This window comes from Homo sapiens, chromosome X (genome assembly GCF_000001405.40).
Source record: "Homo sapiens chromosome X, GRCh38.p14 Primary Assembly".
NCBI lineage: Eukaryota > Metazoa > Chordata > Mammalia > Primates > Hominidae > Homo > Homo sapiens.
The window spans coordinates 115,289,289-115,309,065 of NC_000023.11; the positions used below are offsets into that span (position 1 = coordinate 115,289,289).

Below are 19,777 nucleotides of genomic sequence, written 5' to 3' on the forward strand. Positions count from 1 at the left end.
AAACCTGTGAATCCTCCCTAGATGTTAAATTTGTGCTCCCTCTTGGAATTTGAGAGAAGCAGAGCATCAGCCCATTAAGTCAAGATTATAAGGTTTTATTCGCCATGAATGTCAACAGCAAAGAGGAGAAATGGGTCCTAGGAACTGTGAAAGGCAAGGGCCGGAACACCACATACACTAGAAACTTGTAGCCAACTACATAGTGCTCTAGGTGGAGAGAATATTTTTAGAAAGGGGTATCGGGTGGGAGATGGGCGGGTCTTTCCTTTTTTTTTCTTCTAGCGAGCCAAGCTCCTGATAGGAGACTTGGTGAGGGGTAACGCCAAGCTCCACCCCTTGGGGCTTAGCAACACCGAAGGGAGAGGCTATGATTGGAGGATCAGGTTAGTCCACCACTCTGCTCCTCCTGCGCGGTGAGGGGGTGGTACACGCGCCCTACCTCGGAGTGTGTGGCGCCATGATGCAGGGAAGATGGCTTCGTTTCGGAAGCTAACGCTTTCTGAAAAAGTGCCGCCAAATCATCCCAGTCGGAAAAAGGTTAACTTCCTAGATATGTCTCTAGGTATGTAGATCTCGGATCCCAGTCTCCACTAGTTTGGGCTCACTGGTCTTGAGCGCAAGACCTCGGCATAGCGCTTACTAGAAGTGGCGTCGGGAGGAACACACCAGTTCGAGGAGAGGCTTCCCCTTCAGGGCATCTCCGCACCTGCCCCACCCTGACGAACCCTGGGACCACTTGGCCCCTATCCCTCCTCTCCTCTTTTTCTCCTCACCTCCAGCCCTCTCCTTTCAGGTGGGGAACTGAGGGAGGCTGACCAGAAGCGCGTGGGGATTAAGGATTGCTGAAAGGGGCAGGCGGAGAAAATAGACCGCTATTAACGTGTATTTTACTCTCCTAAGAATTGATACCTAACTACTGGCCTCCTTCAAACACATGGAGCCAAGTGCTCTTCTCAGTCCAAGCGGATGTCATAAATCACTAGATTCCAGGGCCCGGAGGAGCAAGCCTTAGGCTATTTTACTAGGGATCCCGGCGTGGTAGTGCTAGGAGTTGTTGGTGGGTTGGTGTATCTGCTTTGTTGGCTGGTGGTTATTCGAAGGGGTGGTTGGTCCATTTATTTGCTTGTTGGCTGGTGGTTATTCGCTCTGGATAGCCTTTCTTTGCTGGCGCTCTCTAGTCTCTAACCTGAGACCTCTACACGGAGAGTGGAACCTTAGAAAAAAGAACTCCTTTATCAAGGCCCCTAACCTCCTCCATTCGCACCAAACCCAGAAAAAGTGGATTTTACTTGGACCAGTTCCTCTGCTATTATCCATCTTAGAAATGGGGGAGGAGGGGAGGGAATAGACTTTCCAAGCCAGATAGGGAGTGAGCAGAGCTGAGTAGAGAGGATGGAAGCTGACTTTAGAAATGGAGAAGGGCATCAGAGCACGGAAGAAGGAAACTGTAGAAATGGGGGAAGGAGGACAAAACAGAAAAGGGCTACTTTAGTTAGGGGTGTGTGTGTGTGTGTGAAACGTGCTTGCTCTGTTTCTCAGGCAGGTGTGCAGTGGCATCATCTTGGCTCAGTGCAGCCTCCGCCCCCTGGGGTCAAGCGATCCTCCCACCTCAGTCGACAGAGTAGCTGGGACTACAGGCACGCGCCACCACACCTGTCTAGGTTTTTGTTTTTTTGTTTTGTTTTGTTTTGTTTTTTAGTAGAGCGAGGTTTCACCATGTTGCCCAGACTGGTCTCCTGGTCTCAAGTGATCCGCCCTTCTCGGCCTCCCAAAGTCCTGGGATTACAGGCATAAGCCACCGCCCCCGGCCTAGTTAGTTATTTTTGAGATAAGGTCAGGGACTGTTGTCTGGGTTGGAGTGTAGTGGCACGATCACGGCTCACTGTGGCCTCAAGCTCTCAGGCTCAATCAAGTGATCCTACCACCTCAGCCTCTCGAGTAGCTGGAACCACAGGTGCTCACTACCATGCCCACCTAATTTTTAAATTTTTGTAGAGATTGGGTCTCCTTATGTTGCCCAGGCTGGTCTCGAACTCCTGGCCTCAAGCAATCCTCCCGGCTCGGCCTCCCAAAATGATGGGATTGTGGGCCTGAGCCACTGCGCCTGGCCAAGGGCCACTTTAGAAATGAGAGGGGGAGAGGCAGAGCAGTGGGAGCTGAGCTTCAATGTGGAAGCGCAGGAGTGGAGCAAGGAGAAGCAGGAACAAGGAGGGTGGACCTCAGAAATTGATGGAGCAGTGGAAAGAGGGTTCACCTTAGAGATGAGGGTAGGGGAGCAGAGCAGGGAGGGCTGAACTTTAAAAGGGGCAGGATAAGTGGAGGGAGAGTGTACCATAGAAATGAAGAGGGTCAGCTGGGCTTGGTGGCTCATTCATGTAATCCCAGCACTTTGGGAGGTTGAGGTGGGTGGCTCACTTGAGGCCAGGAGTTCGAGACCAGCCTGGCCAACATGGTGAAACCCCATCTCTACTAAAAATACAAAGATTAGCTGGGCATGGTGTTGCGTGCCTGTAGTCCCAGCTATGCAGGAGGCTGAGGCAGGAGAATTGCTTGAACCTGGGAGATGGAGGCTGCAGTGAGTTGAGATCGCCCCACTGCACTCCAGCCTGGGTGCCAGAGTGAGACTTCATCTCAGAAAAAAAAAAAAGTAATGAAATGAAGAGGGGCGCCATGGCTCATGCCTGTAATCCCAGGAGGCAGAGGTCAGGCTGGTCTTGGAACTCCTGACCTCAAGTGATACACCCACCTCGGCCTCACACAGTGCTGCGATTACAGGCGTGGGCCACCTCACCCGGCCTAAACTTTCTTTATAGTGTCCTTTGAAGTCCCGAAGTTTCAGAATTTGATAAAATACAATTTATCTGTTTTTTGTTGTTGTTCATGCTTTGGTGTCAAATCTAGAAGATCATGAAGATCATACCCTTGTTTCCTTCTGAGAGTTTTCTAGTTTTAACTCTTAAATTTACATCTGTGATCCATTTTGAGTTAATTCTTGTATATGGGGTGAGTTAAGAGCCAACTTCATTCTGTTGCATTTTGATGTCTAATTGTTCCAACACTACTTGTTAAAAAGACTAATTTTCCTCCATTGAAAGCTCTTCTTGGTGGAATTGCTTTCTTAATTTCGTTTTTGGATAGTTCATTGCTGGTATATGTACATAGAATTAATTTTTGCATATAGATCTTGTATCCTGCAGCCTTGCTGAGTGTGTTCATTAGTGCTAATCTCCGTGTGTGTGTGTGTATCTTTAGGAATTTCTGCATACAAGATCATGATATCTGAGAACAGAGATTTACTTTTTTCTAATCTGCTTGCCTTTCATTCTTTTTCTTGACTAATTGCTCTGGATGGAATTTCTAGCAAAATGTTAATTAGATGCGGTGAGATTGGACATCCTTGACTTGTTTCTGATCTTAGGGAGAAAAGCTTTCAGTTTTTCACCATTAATCATCATTTTACCTTTGGTTGGGTTTTTGTAGATGCCCTTATGAGGTTGAGGAATTTACCTGCCTCCCACTTTACTTCTGAGGGGGAATGGCCCTGAAAAGTAACTAAGTATTTTTTGTTGTTGTTGTCTTTAAGATGTTTTTAGCAATCTATTTTAAGATCGGTATCAATTTCCTCTTCTAAGACATGGTCCCTGTTGATCCCATACTGCTACTTCCCCCTACCCCAACTTCATCACAAGTTCTGAAATATTTTGTGGCATTAAAATGACTTTAAAAATAATATTTGGTCACTGGCCAGGGCTGGGACTAGGGTGAGGTAAATGAGGCACTTGCTTCCAGTATAAAGTTCAAGGAGTCACAAAAAAAAAATTTGTTAATAGGGATAATTAATATTTTAATGAAATATTTAAAAAATCAAATGGACACACTACAGCCATCTGTCTGGCCACCTGTTTTTGTAAATAAAGTTTTCTTGACCTAAGAACTAGAGTGAAACAAGTGAAGGAGGGCTGTGCAAGTACAGGGTCTGATCTGATCCTATTTTTTTTTTTCTTTTTTGAAATGGGATCTCACTCTGTCACCCAGGCTGGAGTGCAGTGGCATTATCACAGCTCACTGCAGCCTCGACTTCCTGGGCTCAGGCAATCCTCCCACCTCAGCCTCCCAAGTAGCTGGGATACAGGCGTGTGCCACCACGCCCAGCTAATTTTTTTGTATTTTTGTAGAGACGGGTTCTCACTATATTGCCTAGACTGGTCTCGACTTCTGGGCTCAAGCGATCCATCCACCTTGACCTCCCAAAGTGCTAGGATTACAGGTGTGAGCCACCACATCCGGCCTTTGATACTATCCTTTTTTTAAAAAAAAAGCTTGATATTTTGTTCATCACGGATTGGTTTTGCATTGATTTTTATTTTTGAAAATACTGTGAGGCGGGCGTGGTGGCTCACACCTATAATCCCAGCTCTTTGGGAGGCTGAGGCAGGTAGATGACCTGAGGTCAGGAGTTCGAGACCAGCCTGGCCAACATGGTGAAATCCTGTCTCTCCTAAAAATACAAAAATTAGCCGGGCGTGGAGGCAGGCGCCTGTAGTCCCAGCTACTTGGGAGGCTGGGACAGGAGATTTGCTTGAACCCGGGAGGCCGAGGTTGCAGTGAGCCGAGATTGTGCCACTGCACTCCAGCCTGGGTGATGGAACTAGACTCCGTCTCAAAAAAAAAAAATAAAAAAAGATTGAAAAAAAGAAAATATTGTGTTGAGATATTTTAATCTTGATTACTGAGTTTTGGGGGACCTCCTTGAATTTTGTGCCTGAATTCCTCACTTACCTCACTCTAGGCCCTGCCTTGTCACTGGGACCTTGAAGGGAGAAAAACCTAGAACTGAAGGGAATTTATAGCACTGAGGTAAAACTTCATGCTTCCTGCACTTTTCTTTGTGTTGATTTCACTGATGTTTTTGCAACTGCTAACAGAAAAGACAAAACAAAACTGATAAATAGCTAAAGCAATGGGTTTATCTCAAAATTCAGAGAAATAAGGGCCATAGTTGCAGAGTGGCTTGGTCCCAAAAATGTAGTAGTTGTGTGACCTTGTGCAAGTTGCTCCATCTCTTGGGGCCTGAGTTTCCTGATCTGAATAAAATCTACATCATAGAGTTGTTGAAGATTAAATGAGAGAATACAGGTAATGTTCACAAAGTATGCTGCCTGACGTGGAAAAAGCTGAGTAAATATTTGCTATATGTGCCCCGGAAAGTGGGCCTAAACGCTCACGTTTGGGTAGCCAGCAATTTGGCAAGCTGGAGAAGTTACCTCTCCTCTTAGGATTTTGTTATCAAACTTCATAGATACAGTAGACATGAAAGAGATTAAAAACCATCTAGGTGAAAGATGGGGTTTAAACAGCTCACGTCAGTCTCTGGGAGACTGAGAGAGATGGTGGTGTCGTGTAACTTGAATAATAGTGAAGTAAACGGACTTAGGAGGCACTTATATTTTAGTAGATGATTACAGCTGGAAGGATACTGGAGAGTCTGCTTTGGGAAAGATTGCTTCAGTTATTTGAAAGGCTGAGGAAAGATGTTGAGTTGAATTTGGTAGGTTAGTTGGAGATTAAGTATGACTGTAAGATCTCATAGTCACCGAGTTGTAAAAAATCTTGAGGTCACTGTTTTATCCTTTTAAACGTTGGTTCTCTATATCCATATTTTAAACATTGGTTCTCTATATCCATATTTATACCTTTTTAGACAGATGAGAATCCCAGTTTTGATCATGTCAGGAGGAACAGCAAAACTTTCGACTAGTTATCACAGGCCCTTGCGGTTTATTTTATTTTTACTTTTATTTAATTTTTTGAGACAGGGTCTCTGTCGCTGAGGCTGGAGTGCAGTGGCACAATCACAGCTCACTGCAGCCTGGACCTCCCAGGCTCAAGCGATCCTCCCACCTTTGCCCCCAGAGTAGCTGGGACCCTAGGTGTGCACCACCACACCTGGCTCATTTTTGTATTTTCTTTGGTAGAGACGGAGTTTCGCCATGTTGCCCAGGCTGGTCTCGAACTCGTGGGCTCGAGCGATCTTCTCGCCTTGGCCTCCCAAAGTGCTGGGATTACAGCCGTGAGCCACCGTGCCAGGCTGAGGCCCTTGCAGTTTGAAGGCAAGAAAAATACACAATAAATAGCAAATACATGTTGCTTTCTATGATGTAATGAGAACGCCATACTTTTTCCTGATAAATTTCCCCATGTTTTTCTCAGTGAAAATAATACTTTTTAACAATGCATATCTTTGTTTTTAGATAACTAAACACATGCTTTAGAAAAGCAGTAGTATGTTGGATGCAAGGTTATTACTTCCATTGTAATACACGCTAAAGTAGGAAAAGGCTCTACAGATTTATTTTTGTTTTTGCCCTCAGTAAACATACCCAAAAAGTATTAGAGTCCTTTTTTTTTTTAAAACAAATAAAAGGCAAAAATAAGACCAAAATTCGAACTGGTAACAGCAAGAACTTAATAGGAACTCCACTCCCCTGTTAATTACTTTTACCTAAAAGAGACTGATGCAAAAGTGTTGTAGTTAGAAAGAAAAGAACTCTTTCTGCCTGCTAGATATGTTGGACCACGAATCCACAAATATGGATTATCCACTCTGTATTCTGTGCTAGGCACTTAGTACACTAGTAAATAAACAGTGGTCTCTTCTCAAGTACCTCCTAATCTAGCTGGAGAGACAGCTAAGTAAATATGTGCAATTATACATTGTTTTAAGTATTCTGGAAGTATGTATAGTCAGAATTTTTCAGAAGTTGAGAGGAACCTAAGTCACTTACATTTTTTGAGGTTTCCAGTGTTTTAAATATTTAAAAAATGGCAAAACAAAAATTGTGGTGTATTTTACATGTTTATAAATATAAAATAGTGGTTTCAACCCACTGTAAAATAAAATGCAATATAAGTATACTTTTCACAAGAAAATTAATTATGCAATTTAAATAAAAATGTAATTATTCATATGGCACCTCAAGCAGTGTGATCAGTTTTAAACTGTGTGAGGAATACTGTCTTTCTTCAGTCCTGACAGTTTATTTCTGAGAGTAAGTATATCAAGAATTCAAATTTAAGGCTCTTTGGTGAGGCCTGGATCAAATGTCTCTCCTTGAGAGATTGGCTAAGTGTTCTCTAGGTGGATTCAGTGGAGAATATCATTACAGAGAGCAGAATGAACAAAGCCCCGTGTCTCTGTAATGATATATTCTGAGAACTAAGGAAAAGGACATGAGAATCTGCAAAAATACTGTAGCATTAAGGACGCTTTCTTCATAACCTCATAGCCTATGTTGGAAGGGCGTTTAGACAGCTTACCCAGGTTCATAGGCATTTGCTTTCTCTTCAATATGAAGAGGCTGAGCAGCAATTTGATTTCATCTCTAAGTCGTAGCTGGTGAGATCTACCCAATTCCATTACAATCCAACAAATCAAATGGTGGTCTCTGGAACTACAAAGTCTAAGGATTAAAATTACGTATGATTTCACTTAAAGAAAAACCTTGCAACACATTCCAAGGTGTGGATAATTCAAAAACATTTTTAAAAATAAGTTTTATGCTGGGCGTGGTAGTTCACACCTATAATCCCAGGAGATGTCAGCCATTTCAAAGAAAATCAGAATCAGATTTTTTTCTTATTATTGTAATTGTTTATTATTTATTTGTAATTTTTGTGGGTATATAGTAGGTGTATATATTTATGGGGTACATGAGATGTTTTGATACAGGCATGCGTGCAATTGCAATGTGGAATAAGCACATCATGGAGATTATCCATCCTCTTAAGCATTCATCCTCTGAGTTACAGACAATCCAATTACGCTCTTTATTTTAAAACATATAGTTATTATTGACTATAGTCACCCTGTTGTGCTATCAAATAGTAGGTCTTATTCATTCTTTCTATTTATATTTTATTGTACTACCTATGTATTGAAAAGTTGTTGTAGTTATTTTTTATTGGTTCATCGTTTAGTCTTTCTACTTAGGATGAGAGTAGTTTATATACCACAGTTACAGTATTATAATATTCTGTGTTTTTCTGTGTACTTACTATTACCAGTGAGTTTTATACCTTCAGATGATGACTCATTACTCATTAATGTCTTTTCTTTCTGGTTGAAGCACTCCCTTTAGCATTTTTTGTAGGACAGGTCTGGTGTTGATGAAATCCCTCAGCTTTTGTTTGTCTGTGAAACTTTTTATTTCTTCTTCATGTTTGAAGCATATTCTCACTGGATATGCTATTCTAAGGTAAAGTTTTTCCCTTCAGCACTTTATATCAGCCCACTCTCTCCTGGCCTGTAAGGTTTCCACTGAAGGGGCTGCTGCCAGACATATTAGAGCTCTTGTTTGTTATTTGTCTCTTTTCTCTTGCTGCTTTTAGGATCCTTTCTTTATCCTTGACCTTTAGGAGTTTGATTATTAAATGCCTTGAGGTAGTCTTCTTTGGGTTAAATCTGCTTGGTGTTCTATAACCTTCTTGTACTTGGATATTGATATCTTTCTCTAGGTTTGGGAACTATTTTTTTTTTCTTTGACAGAGTGTTGCTCTGTAGCCCAGGCTGGAGAGCAGTGGCGTAATCTCGGCTCACTGCAACCTCTGCCTCCCAGGTCCCCGTTAAGCAATTCTCCTGCCTCAGCCTCCTGAGTAACTGGGATTACAGGTACATGCCACCATGCTCAGCTAATTTTTGTATTTTTAGTAGAGACGGGGTTTCACCATGTTGGCCAGGCTGGTTTTGAACTCCTGACCTTGTGATCCGCTCACCTCAGGAACTTCTCTTTTATTATCTCTTTGAATAAACTTGCTCTGTCACCCAGGCTGGAGTGCAGTGGCACTCTTGGCTCACTGCAACCTCAGCCTCCCAGGTTCAAACGATTCTCCTGCCTCAGCCTCCCAAGTAGCTGGGATTACAGGTGAGCACCACCACACACAGCTAATTTTTGTGTTTTTAGTAGAGGTGGGGTTTAACCATGTTGGCCAGGCTGTTCTCAAACTCCTGACATCAAGTGATCCACCTGCCTCGGCCTCCCAAAATGCTGGGAATACAGGCGTAAGCCACCACTCCCAACCCCTTTGAATAAACTTTCTACCCCTATCTCTTTCTCTACATCCTCTTTACAGCCAATAACTCTTAGATTTGCCCTTTTGAGGCTATTTTCTAGATCCTGTAGGTGTGTTTCATTGTTTGTTTGTTTTTTCTTTTGTCTCCTCTGATTGTATATTTTCAAATAGCCTTTCTTCAAGCTCACTAATTCTTTATTTTGCTAGATTTATTCTGCTATTAAAGGACTCTGCATTCTTCAGTATGCCAATGGCATTTTTCCAGTTCCAGAATTTCTGCTTGACACTTTTAAATCATTTCTATGTCTTTGTTACATTTATCTGATAGAATTCTGAATTCCTTCTGTCTTTGCTTGAATTTATTTGAGTTTCCTCAACACAGCTATTTGGAATTCTCTGTCTGAAAGGTCACATATCTCTGTTTTTCCAGGACTCGTCCTTAGTGCCTTATTTAGTTCATTTGGTGAGGTCATGTTTTCCTGGATGCTGTTGATACTAGTAGATGTTCTTCAGTGTCTGGGCATTGAAGGGTTAGGTATTTATTGTAGTCTTCACTGTCTGGGCTTCTTTGTACTCATCCTTTTGGGGAAGGCTTTCCAGATATTTGAAAGGACTGCAGTGTTGTGATCTAAGCAGTTTCTACTTTAGGGGACATCGCAAGCCCAGTAACGCTATGGTTCTTGCAAACTCATAGAGGTACCGCCTTGATGGTTTTGGACAGGATCTGGGAGAATTCTCTGGATCACCAGGCAGAGACTCTTGTTCTTTTCCCTTATTTTCTCCTAAACAAACAGAGTGTCTCTGTTCTGAGCCACCCAGAGCTGGGGTGGAGTGACACAAGCACCCCTGTGGCCGCCACCACTATGACTGTGCTGGGTCAGACCCGAAGCCAGCACAGCTCTGGGTTTCACTCAAGGCCTGCTGCAAATACTCCCGGCTACTGCCCAGCTTGCTCAAGGCCCTGAATCTCTACAATCAGCCAGTAGCAAAACCAGCCAGGCCTGTGTCCTTTCCTTCACGGTGGCAAGGTCCCCCAAGCCAGAGGTGTGTCCAGAAGTGACATCTGGGACTCAGGACCTAGAGTCAAAAACCTTAGAAGTCTACCTGGTGTTCTATTGTATTATGGCTGAGCTGGCACTCATACCACAAGATGCAGTCCTTCCCACTCTTCCCTTCCCTTTCCAAAGGCAGAGGAGCCTCACCCCATAGCCAGTCATCCTAGGCCAGGTAGAGTACTGTTGGACTACCATAGATGTTCCCTTGAGGCTCAGGGGCTCTTAAGTCAGCTTGGGATGAATGCTGCCTGGTCTGAGACTCACCCTTCAGAGCAGTGAGCTCCCCTCTGGCCTAGGGCAGTTCCAGAAGTGTTATCCAAGAGTCAAGTCCTGGAATCACGGATTCCAAGAGCCCACTTGGTGTTCTACCCTTCTGTAGCTGTGCTGGTACCTGAAGCCAGCAAGTCTCGGAGTCTCATCCAAGGCTCTCAACATAGTACCTGGGTATTGCTGCTAGTTATTCAGAGCCCAAGAGCTTTTCAGTTAACAGTTGATGAATTCTGCCAGGGCTGGGTCCTTTCCTTCAAGGCAGTCGGTTCCCTTCTGGCCTACGGTGTGTCTAGAAATGTGGACCAGGAGCTAGAGCCTGAAACAGGAACCTCATAACTCTAACTGGTGCCCTATCCTGCTGTGGCTGAGCTGGTATCTAAGATGTAAGACAAAGTCCTCCCCACTCTTCCCTCTCTTCTCAAGTGGAAGGGTGGGTCTCTTTTGGAGCTGTGAGCTGTCCAGCCTGGGGTTAGGGGAGGGGCGATGCCACCACTCCCTTGGCTGCCCCAGCTGGTGTCTCAGTATGTCATGTGGCCCCCCCAGTCCACACTCTGTTGGCCCAGTTCAGCACTAAGTCTTGCCTAAGAGTTGCAGTCCTTATGGCCTAGACCAGGTGTTTCCAATCTTTTGGCTTCCCTGGACCACACTGAAAGAATAATTGTCTTGAGCCACACATAAAATACACTAACATTAACAATAGCTGATGAGCTAAAAAAAATTGCAGAAAAAATCTCATAATGTTTTAAGAAAGTTTACGAATTTGTGTTGGGCTGCATTCAAAACCGTCCTGGGCTGTGTATGGCCTGCAGGCCACAGGTTAGAAAAGCTTGGCCTAGACTACCTTTCAGGTTTACTTGGAGATCCAGAGCACTGTAGCTCTTGATGGAGAGGTTTGTGGGAACTCATGTTCGGGCTGCCGGGATGGGTGATTCCTCTCTGACTGGGGCTGGTTTAAATCTTCCCTCCATGGGCAGGTGTCAGGTGAGTTTGGTCCACTTTTCCTTTCTGCTCTAACAGGACAGCACTAAATTCAATGCCTCATGATTGCTGTGTTCTTCCTTCCCCAGTGCCCAGAGATGCTCTTGGCACCACCATGTCATTGCTGCCGGGAGTTGGGGGAAGGGTGACATTGGCGATTCAGGACTGTTTTTTCTATCCCTTCAGTGCCTCTTTCAGTGATAAGAAGTTAAAACCAGTTACTATGAGTGCTCACATGATTTTTGGTTTTTATGAAGGTGTTTTTTTCTGTGTAGATAGTTGTTAAATTCGCGTCCTTGCTGGGGGGACGATCGGTGGAGGCTTCTATTCTGCCATCTTGCTTCCTATCCCAGAATCAGATATTTAGAGACCTGAGGCAGCACTAGTACTAAGCAAAATAATAAAGGAGTGGTTAATCTGTGTCACCCAACTGCCTCTTTTGTACCCTTTTCAGCTCTTCTTTTCTTTTAGAATCTCCAGTTTTTTCCAAATACCTAGCTTGTCCTTCTTTTTTTCTTTTTCTCTTCTTCCTGAGTGTAGCTTCCAGAAGGTGTGGGGGGCTTTTGCTTATTTCTAAAGATGCCTTAACATGAGTAAAGTTTTATCCACTGATAGAGCATCCCACCTGTAGACTCTTCCATTCTAAATGTTAGGAGAGATATTTTAGAGCAAGTTGTACCTGTCTGCCATTCTTTAAATTATGCCATGTAAGTGCTTTCTGCCTGAGTACGTAAATATGTGCCTGACTACAGAGTCAAGTCTGATTGCTTCCTGCTACTACAATAATCTAGGTTCCTCACTTCTGTGGTGTCTTCTATGAACTTCCATCACCACTTTCTTACTTTTGTCACTTCTTTTTTCTCTGTTAGTTTTTGATAATATACATGTAACTAATTGTCTATCACATTTAATCAGATAGACATTTAATGGTCTATCACTTTACATTTAATTGCTGATTTACATTTATTTAGTCAGCAACTTAATGACTCTCTTGCTCTATATTTCTATGACACTGAAATAACATTTAGTAAAATCATTTATTTAGATGATATCCCCCCTGAGCTATTGCAGTGTGAAAGTATTTTGCTTTTGCATAAATAAAGTTACCATATATCTAACAGGAATTGTTCTTTCTTGTTCCAGCAAACCTAAGATGTCGGTACTGTTTGACCTTTGTTAGAGTTTAACAAATTTATTATTATTATTATCATTTTTAGGGCTACCAGTTTTTAGGTATTCTGAAATATGATGAGATAAGATATAGATTATTCACTCGAGACATTATTTGGCTTTTGCCATTTTATTCATTTTTTATGTATTTTCTAATACAGACGACATTATAATCTATAAAGAGTTAGAAGGGACAAATGCTGAAGAAGAAAAGAATAAAAGACAGAACCATAGTAAAAAGGAATCGCCTTCAAGACAGCAATCAAAAGCTCATAGACATCGCCATCGGAGAGGTAAAGTATGCTGAAAATAGTCACACGTGGTAAAAAGAGTCTGAAATATTTGTGAATAACTAGATAAGTAAATCAAGAATTCACAATATTGTTCTAAAGTTGCATTATGTTGCTTGTTTTATTTTTTCTGGGCATGGGCTCATACAGGGTTGGTAAGAATTTATGCCATGTCATATGAATAAAAATTTATTTTAATTTATAAGAATTACTTCCCTAATGGAGAGTGGGATAAAAAAAGTAACCATATGAGCTGAGAGTTATTTTGTACTTGTTTACAAGCCTGGGTTGGTTGGTCCAGTTCCACTTTTAGGAGGCAATACAGGAGGGTTAAGAGCATAGTCAATAATCTGAACACTATGGCATCCACATTTTGAAAATACAGATGTTGTAAGACAAAAAGAGAAGGGTAGAACATGACAAATGTCCTCTATATACTTAACCTCATTGGTAATTGCAGTATGCATTTTTTAATATGAATGTGCTACAGATTGCCACGATACAGAAGTCTTTTCAACAATTAAAGGTCTTCATAATCTAGTCAACAGATTGGAACCATTTTGACATTGTGATTACTATAAGCCCCGACAGTTGCCTATGCAGCTTCATTTAAGTTCTTGTGTGAATCTTCAGTGGCTCAGCATGTTCTGAGAAGAGAAGCGATGATAGTTATTACAGGGGCAGAGCAGCCAAAAAGGGTAACGTGGCCCATTCTTATGTGCCTAACCAGTCATCACAAAATTGATCTTTGTGAGCCTTTTGGAGATATTCTTTGATGGGTTTTTAAACTGTCTTTATACCCAAACAAAGCAGACAATTGAGACAAATATTCACATGATTAATACAAAGCAGACAATTTCTCTCCATCTCTCCTTTTTCTACTGGAGTATTCTTTCATTTAATTTCAGATAGTATGTCCCAACTTTGGTGGCATATGAAACCAAAATTGACGTATTATATACTGAGAAGACTACCCTATTAAGGTATGCAAATTGAAATAGTATGGCAAAGACTGTTCTAGAATTCAGTGAGACTCCCAGATGATACCAGAGTAATGAAATATCAAAAGTTTTGCAAAACCCAGTGCATAGCCTTAAAAAAATGAGATCAGAGATAATACTTCTGAAAGATACATTGAATTTACTACTTGAAAATACAGAAAATATTTATTTTTCAAAGGCTACTCAAGATGCAGAAGCAACTCTGAGGAAGGAAATCATGATAAAAAACCATCCCAAAAACCTTCTGGATTCAAGTCTGGACAACACCCTTTAAATGGGCAGCCTTTAATTGAGCAGGTAGATAAGTACCAAGAATTAACCAATATTAAAAATCCTACATTTACTATATTTCCTAATATTAATGATTTACTTTAAATTCTATTGAAAGCAGGGATTGTTTCTTGGTATTCCTCCATGGTGCCTTGAACATATTTTAAATTCAATGTTTATTAGTTAATTTTTCCCCTGTAACTATTTTAATAAACATTTGATTTTTGCTATTTTCAGTCATTACTAAAACTTTTGAATTTATAAAACGCCAAAATAGATTATTAATTATTGTCATTAATCCTATATAAGAATTTTTATTTGTCCTCATACAGAGGCTTTGAGCTTAAGTTATAATATAAGAGTTTTAGTATCTTTGTGAATGAACTGTAAAAGCCAGAAGTCAGATGATATCAGATATGAAATATACTCTGGAAGCAACAGGTGGCACAGACTATCCCTGTACAAATCCATTTCCTCTAAACACGTATAGGTGAGCCAGTCAATAGACAGAAATTTGAGAGGTGCTCAGATCCAGAATCATTAGCTAACATTGGTGTTAATGTTTCATCCTAGCTTATAAACTGATTCTTCTTAAGGTGTTAAGTGGTCATTTATCAAAAATGGCAGTTCTGGGAGCTTAAATCATTTTTGCCAAATCATGTAAATGCAAATGTTTATTTATTTGCTTGTTCATTTATTTGTTTTGGAGAAAAACATGTTGCATTTTCAAATATTTAAAGGATTACTTTAAATTGTTCAAATTATGATTCAATGCCTACTCTATGCAGGCACTATGATACCAGAACAGCCTGCTTCAAATAGTCTGTGTGGTGGTGGAAGAGAAAGCTAAGAAAGAAATGTAATGCCAGGCAGTATGCAGTATGTGCTTAATAGGACATAAGTTATACATTGTGGGGATGTAGAAATTCATTCTGATTGGGATTCTTGAGAAACTTTGATGGAAGAGATGGCATATGATCTGTGCCTTATAGGATGAGGGGATTTTTTTATACAGTTTGGGAAGAAGAACATGAGCTTCCTTCTGATGCAGTCCAAGATGCATAAATAAACTGAGAATAAATATTAAACAATATTTTCAAATTGAAAGCATCCTTGTCCTTTTATTTATTTATTTTTTGAGACAGGGTCTCATTCTGTTGCGCAGGCTGGAATGTGGTGGTGTGATCATGGCTCACTGCCTCTTCTACCTCCCAGGCTCAAGCAATCCTCCCACTTCAGCCTCCCAAGTAGCTGGGACTATAGGCACGTGCCACCATGCTCTGCGAATTTTTTTTTTTCTTTTCTGTAGAGATGAGGTCTCGCTATGTTGCCCAGGGTGGGAAAGTATCCTTCTATTATTCATACTTTTGAAACTTTTGAGACTATCATAGCTGAACTCACTAGAAAAAAAAAATACCCTGCAATAAAGAAATGTATTAAAATTTAAGCATAATTATTTCACCAATAAATTGAATAATTACAGTTTTCAATAATACTTTACAATTCTATTAAGCTAGTTTCGTACTTAACAAGATTTTGTCTTATTATCAGTGGAACACAGTTGTATTTGTTCACCCCATGTATTTATTCAACACAACCTTTTGATAGAAGGCTTCACTTGTTTGTAAGGAAAGAAAACTAATGTGCATTTTGTTTTCCAAAGGTAGGAAATACATAGTACATTTCTTATATACTTATTTCTTATATAAACATTCATAAAAGGGACTGCAAGCTCCTTTGGAAAGGTACTTGGATACATACGGGTCTTTAGAAGATGGAACTCAGTCCTATCTTTCCTACTGACCCACTGTGCTCCCAACACCAATCACTTAGAAAAGAGAAAAGGTACATGTGCATTTCACCCAATCTCCTTATTTAGGTTTTTCAGTACAAAAGCTGGAGAGTGGCTATAGCTTTATGTTTTAGCAAAACAACTAATTTTTTACATTTTTATTTTAAAATAAGTTTTCTGTGCATAATACATTTTGTGCTGGTACCTTCCCTGCTGTTTAGCAGTTGCTTCCAGCTTCTGGTAGTGTTAAACTAGAAAGTCATAATGCCAAATTGAGGGGATGTTGTGTTTGTCAGGCAGCATATACTAGTAGAAAGCTTGATTTCTCAGCATGGTCTATATGACTTTATCCACTTACATTTATGTAGCATCATAGAGATTTGTCAAAGGTTTCGTTATTTCCATTTGGCTGATTCACTCCACTGTCTTTTTGGCTTAAAAATTGAAAAGGTAGAAAGGCTGTGTTGTTGCCAGGCTAATTTACTTGAATAGTATTAAGCCAACCTTCTGCTTTTTTTACAACTTCCTTTCCCCTTCCTTACTTCGTCTTTCTCTCTAGAATTAAGTATCACTTTATAATGAAAAGATAGTTTCTTTTTAATCATTGAGTAGGCAAAGAGTAAACAATATGATTTTGAACACTTTCCTTTTGATCCTAAGGACTTACACTACAAAATATTCTATCAAAGTCACAGAATCTGTTGTTTCTTTAGTAAAACATAGATCAAGAAATTGGTAGGTAGAACATGACCTTAGAGTACAGTCAAACTCATAAAACAACTAATTTTCCATATTTTTATTTTATTAAAGTTTTAGTTGCATAGCATTTTTGTGCCAGTGACACGATACAATGGAGCTATTCTGTAAGTTAGTTCTAAAAACTGGTTGATAAATAAAAGTAAGCACAGTGGAATTCTAAAAGAAATAGTTGCCCATAAAAATGGTCTTGAGAATATATCATTATGACTTAAATCATGAAGTATATGTTTCATTTGTTTTGAATAATTGGGATCCTTTTCAGGAGAAGTGCAGTGACAATTATGAGGCCCAAGCAGAGAAGAATCAAGGCCAGTCAGAGGGGAACCAGCATCAATCAGAAGGAAATCCGGACAAATCAGAAGAATCCCAGGGCCAACCAGAAGAAAATCATCATTCTGAGCGATCCCGAAACCACTTAGAGAGATCTCTTTCTCAGTCAGACAGATCTCAAGGGCAGCTAAAGAGACATCATCCCCAATATGAGAGATCTCATGGCCAATACAAGAGATCTCATGGTCAATCTGAGAGATCTCATGGCCACTCAGAGAGATCTCATGGTCACTCAGAGAGATCTCATGGTCACTCAGAGAGATCTCATGGTCACTCAAAGAGATCTCGTAGCCAGGGAGATCTTGTGGACACTCAGAGTGATCTCATAGCCACTCAGAGAGATCTCATAGCCACTCAGAAAGATCTCATAGCCACTCAGAGAGATCTCATAGCCACTCAGAGAGATCTCATAGTCACTCAGAGAGATCTCGTGGCCACTGAGAGAGATCTCATAAATCAGTCAGGGAGATCTCATGGCCAATCAGAAAGACATCAGAGATACTCAACAGGTAAAAATACAATAACTACTTAATCATCAGAACAATGTGTTGAATTCTGTGGAAATAGAAAAGCATATATCTATATTCTAATGGCTAAATATGTATTTGTTGAAACATGTATATTGGGACAAAGACATAAATATTAGAATGGAGGTAATACATACATAGTATCAATATTGTTTCAACTTGATGTCCTCTAAGCTATCATCCAGTTACCCAGGATGTCCCATTAAGTTGTTCCCGGTAGGTCTGCTTTCCCTGGAAGAGCCGTATGTACTCAGCCTTTCCTATTGGGCCTTCCCCACAATTAGAATATTTTGACTTAGTGTCCTGTCCCCCTTGGACGTTCCAACTTGACTTAGTGTCCAGTGCCCCTTGGACATTCCAACCTGGTAGGTAAGCTAATCTAACAACTAACTGCCAAATTGATAATATATAATCTATGATAATGAATATCTCTTTTGTGTCTCCTTCCTAAGCCATCCTCAGAGAGTCCTTAGCAGACAAATGGTAGATGTATCTTTGGGCAGCTGAACTTTTCTGCTTTCCTCAAATCAGACCATATGAGAGGATATATTCTATGCATAGATGTAATGCTAACCTTCTGAATATATTTTGAATACATTTATATATTCACTGTTGCCTTATAAAACTGTTAGGGTAGGTCTGTCTACCCTAGCAAAAGAAACACAGAAATTTAAATGTACTGGGAGTTATGTTGTTAAAAACACAAGATATGTTAACTGCAGTTTGTTTGGTTATTCAATAAAAGTTTTAGTTTTAATTTCTCAGTGATTGCCTTGTTTGTATTGACTGTAAATGTCTAGTCAAATATTTTAGGTTCATATTAACTGCTGCACAGAATTACTTACTTCAGCTAAAAAAAATTATTTCCGGCTGGGCGTGGTGGCTCATGCCTATAATCCCAGCACTTTGGGAGGCCGAGGCAGGCGGATCACTTGAGGTCAGGAGTTTGAGACCAGCCTGGCCAACATGGTCAAACTCCGTCTCTACTAAAAATACAAAAATTAGCCGGACGAGGTGGCGAGCGCCTGTAATCCCAGCTACTGGGGAGGCTGAGGCAGGAGAATTGCTTGAACCCGGGAGGCGGAGGTTGCAGTGAGCTGAGATCTTGCCACTGCACTCTAGCCTGGGTGACAGAGCAAGACTCTGTCTCAGAAAAAAAAAAAAAGTATTTCCAAGATGTGTGTATGAGTTATTGTGTATGTAGATGATGTCTGATGCAGGCATCATTTTAATGCAAAAGGTCCCACCCTACTTATATTAGCAGTATACACATAATCTGCTATAAAAATGAAAATGTTTAATACTGATGACAAGCAATCCATATTTCTGCATTTATTAGGGATTTGTACACATTTTACTTAATTTTACATATCAATTTTTGTTTGTCATGTGGCATAATACTTCCATTAAGGCACTAAAAATTCTATTTAAATTATTGTCCATTGGCATATTCCTATCATTTTGCAAATACATTTTAAAATATAATGAATAAGTCCACTCAGTTTTTTTCCTTTATGTTCCATTATAATTTTTTCATATTCTCAGCACAAATAGATACCACCTGAATGGTTAAGGTTAAATTAATCAATGTAGAGCTATTACTAAAGAATACATAAATTACAGAAAATTAACATGTATTAATTGATATTTTGGAGATTAATTATTCTACTCCATAACTTTCTACTCTAATATGTATTAGAATAACAATAAATTGACCAGATGGGTTTAATAGCACCCTTCAGAACTAAAATTTGCTTCTATACCAAGTATAAAATAAAGATTTCAGTGATTTCATGATCCCACTCAAAATCTTCCCCTCAGGCCAGGTTCACCAGAAGGTAAAGATATGCCAGAGAGGCTACATTTCTGCTTTAAACAAACAAGTTAAATCCAGAAGGCCATTGTGGCCTTAATAAATAGCTGGGCCAACACTTCAAATAAAATATGATAGCATATTCAGAATATTATTTATTTATGAAGTTTGGAATAACTTATTTTCATTTTTGAAAAACTAATATGCCTCCCAATAAAAACTCTAAACAGGATGTATGCAAACAAGGTGTAAATTTGAATTTTTAACTCCCTTAAAATACCTGATAATTGCAGCTTTTTGTCTTCTTTCCTGATATGGTAATAATACTCATAGTCAAATGCCTTCCTTGGCTGGACTGATAGGTAGAGAGGGATAGCAGAACAAAAACTGTCTTTTGTACCCCCACTAGGTGTGGCAAAATGAAATGTGTGGCAAAATATGCATATCTTTACA

The 19,777-nt window shown here is 40.3% G+C and overlaps 1 protein-coding gene across 2 annotated transcripts; it reads left to right on the forward strand.

The window, feature by feature from the left end:
• On the forward strand, positions 427-18,275 carry LUZP4 (leucine zipper protein 4). 2 transcript variants are annotated; one of them, NM_016383.5, is made up of 4 exons: positions 427-562; positions 12,704-12,835; positions 14,012-14,130; positions 16,917-18,275. In NM_016383.5, the coding sequence occupies exons 1-4, from the start codon at positions 472-474 to the stop codon at positions 17,514-17,516; spliced, it is 942 nt and encodes a 313-aa protein (NP_057467.1). In that variant the 5' UTR covers positions 427-471; the 3' UTR covers positions 17,517-18,275. The 2 variants fall into 2 exon arrangements, with proteins under 2 accessions (NP_057467.1, NP_001305769.1); NM_001318840.2 differs by lacking the exon at positions 14,012-14,130.

Bases quoted from the DNA above. Each gene is read 5' to 3' on its own strand.
- LUZP4 (NM_016383.5), top strand. From the start codon at position 472: ATGGCTTCGTTTCGGAAGCTAACGCTTTCTGAAAAAGTGCCGCCAAAT. The intron at 563-12,703 runs GTATGTAGATCT...TTTCTAATACAG, and splicing joins CTTCCTAGATATGTCTCTAG to ACGACATTATAATCTATAAA. The intron at 14,131-16,916 runs GTAGATAAGTAC...GATCCTTTTCAG, and splicing joins GGCAGCCTTTAATTGAGCAG to GAGAAGTGCAGTGACAATTA.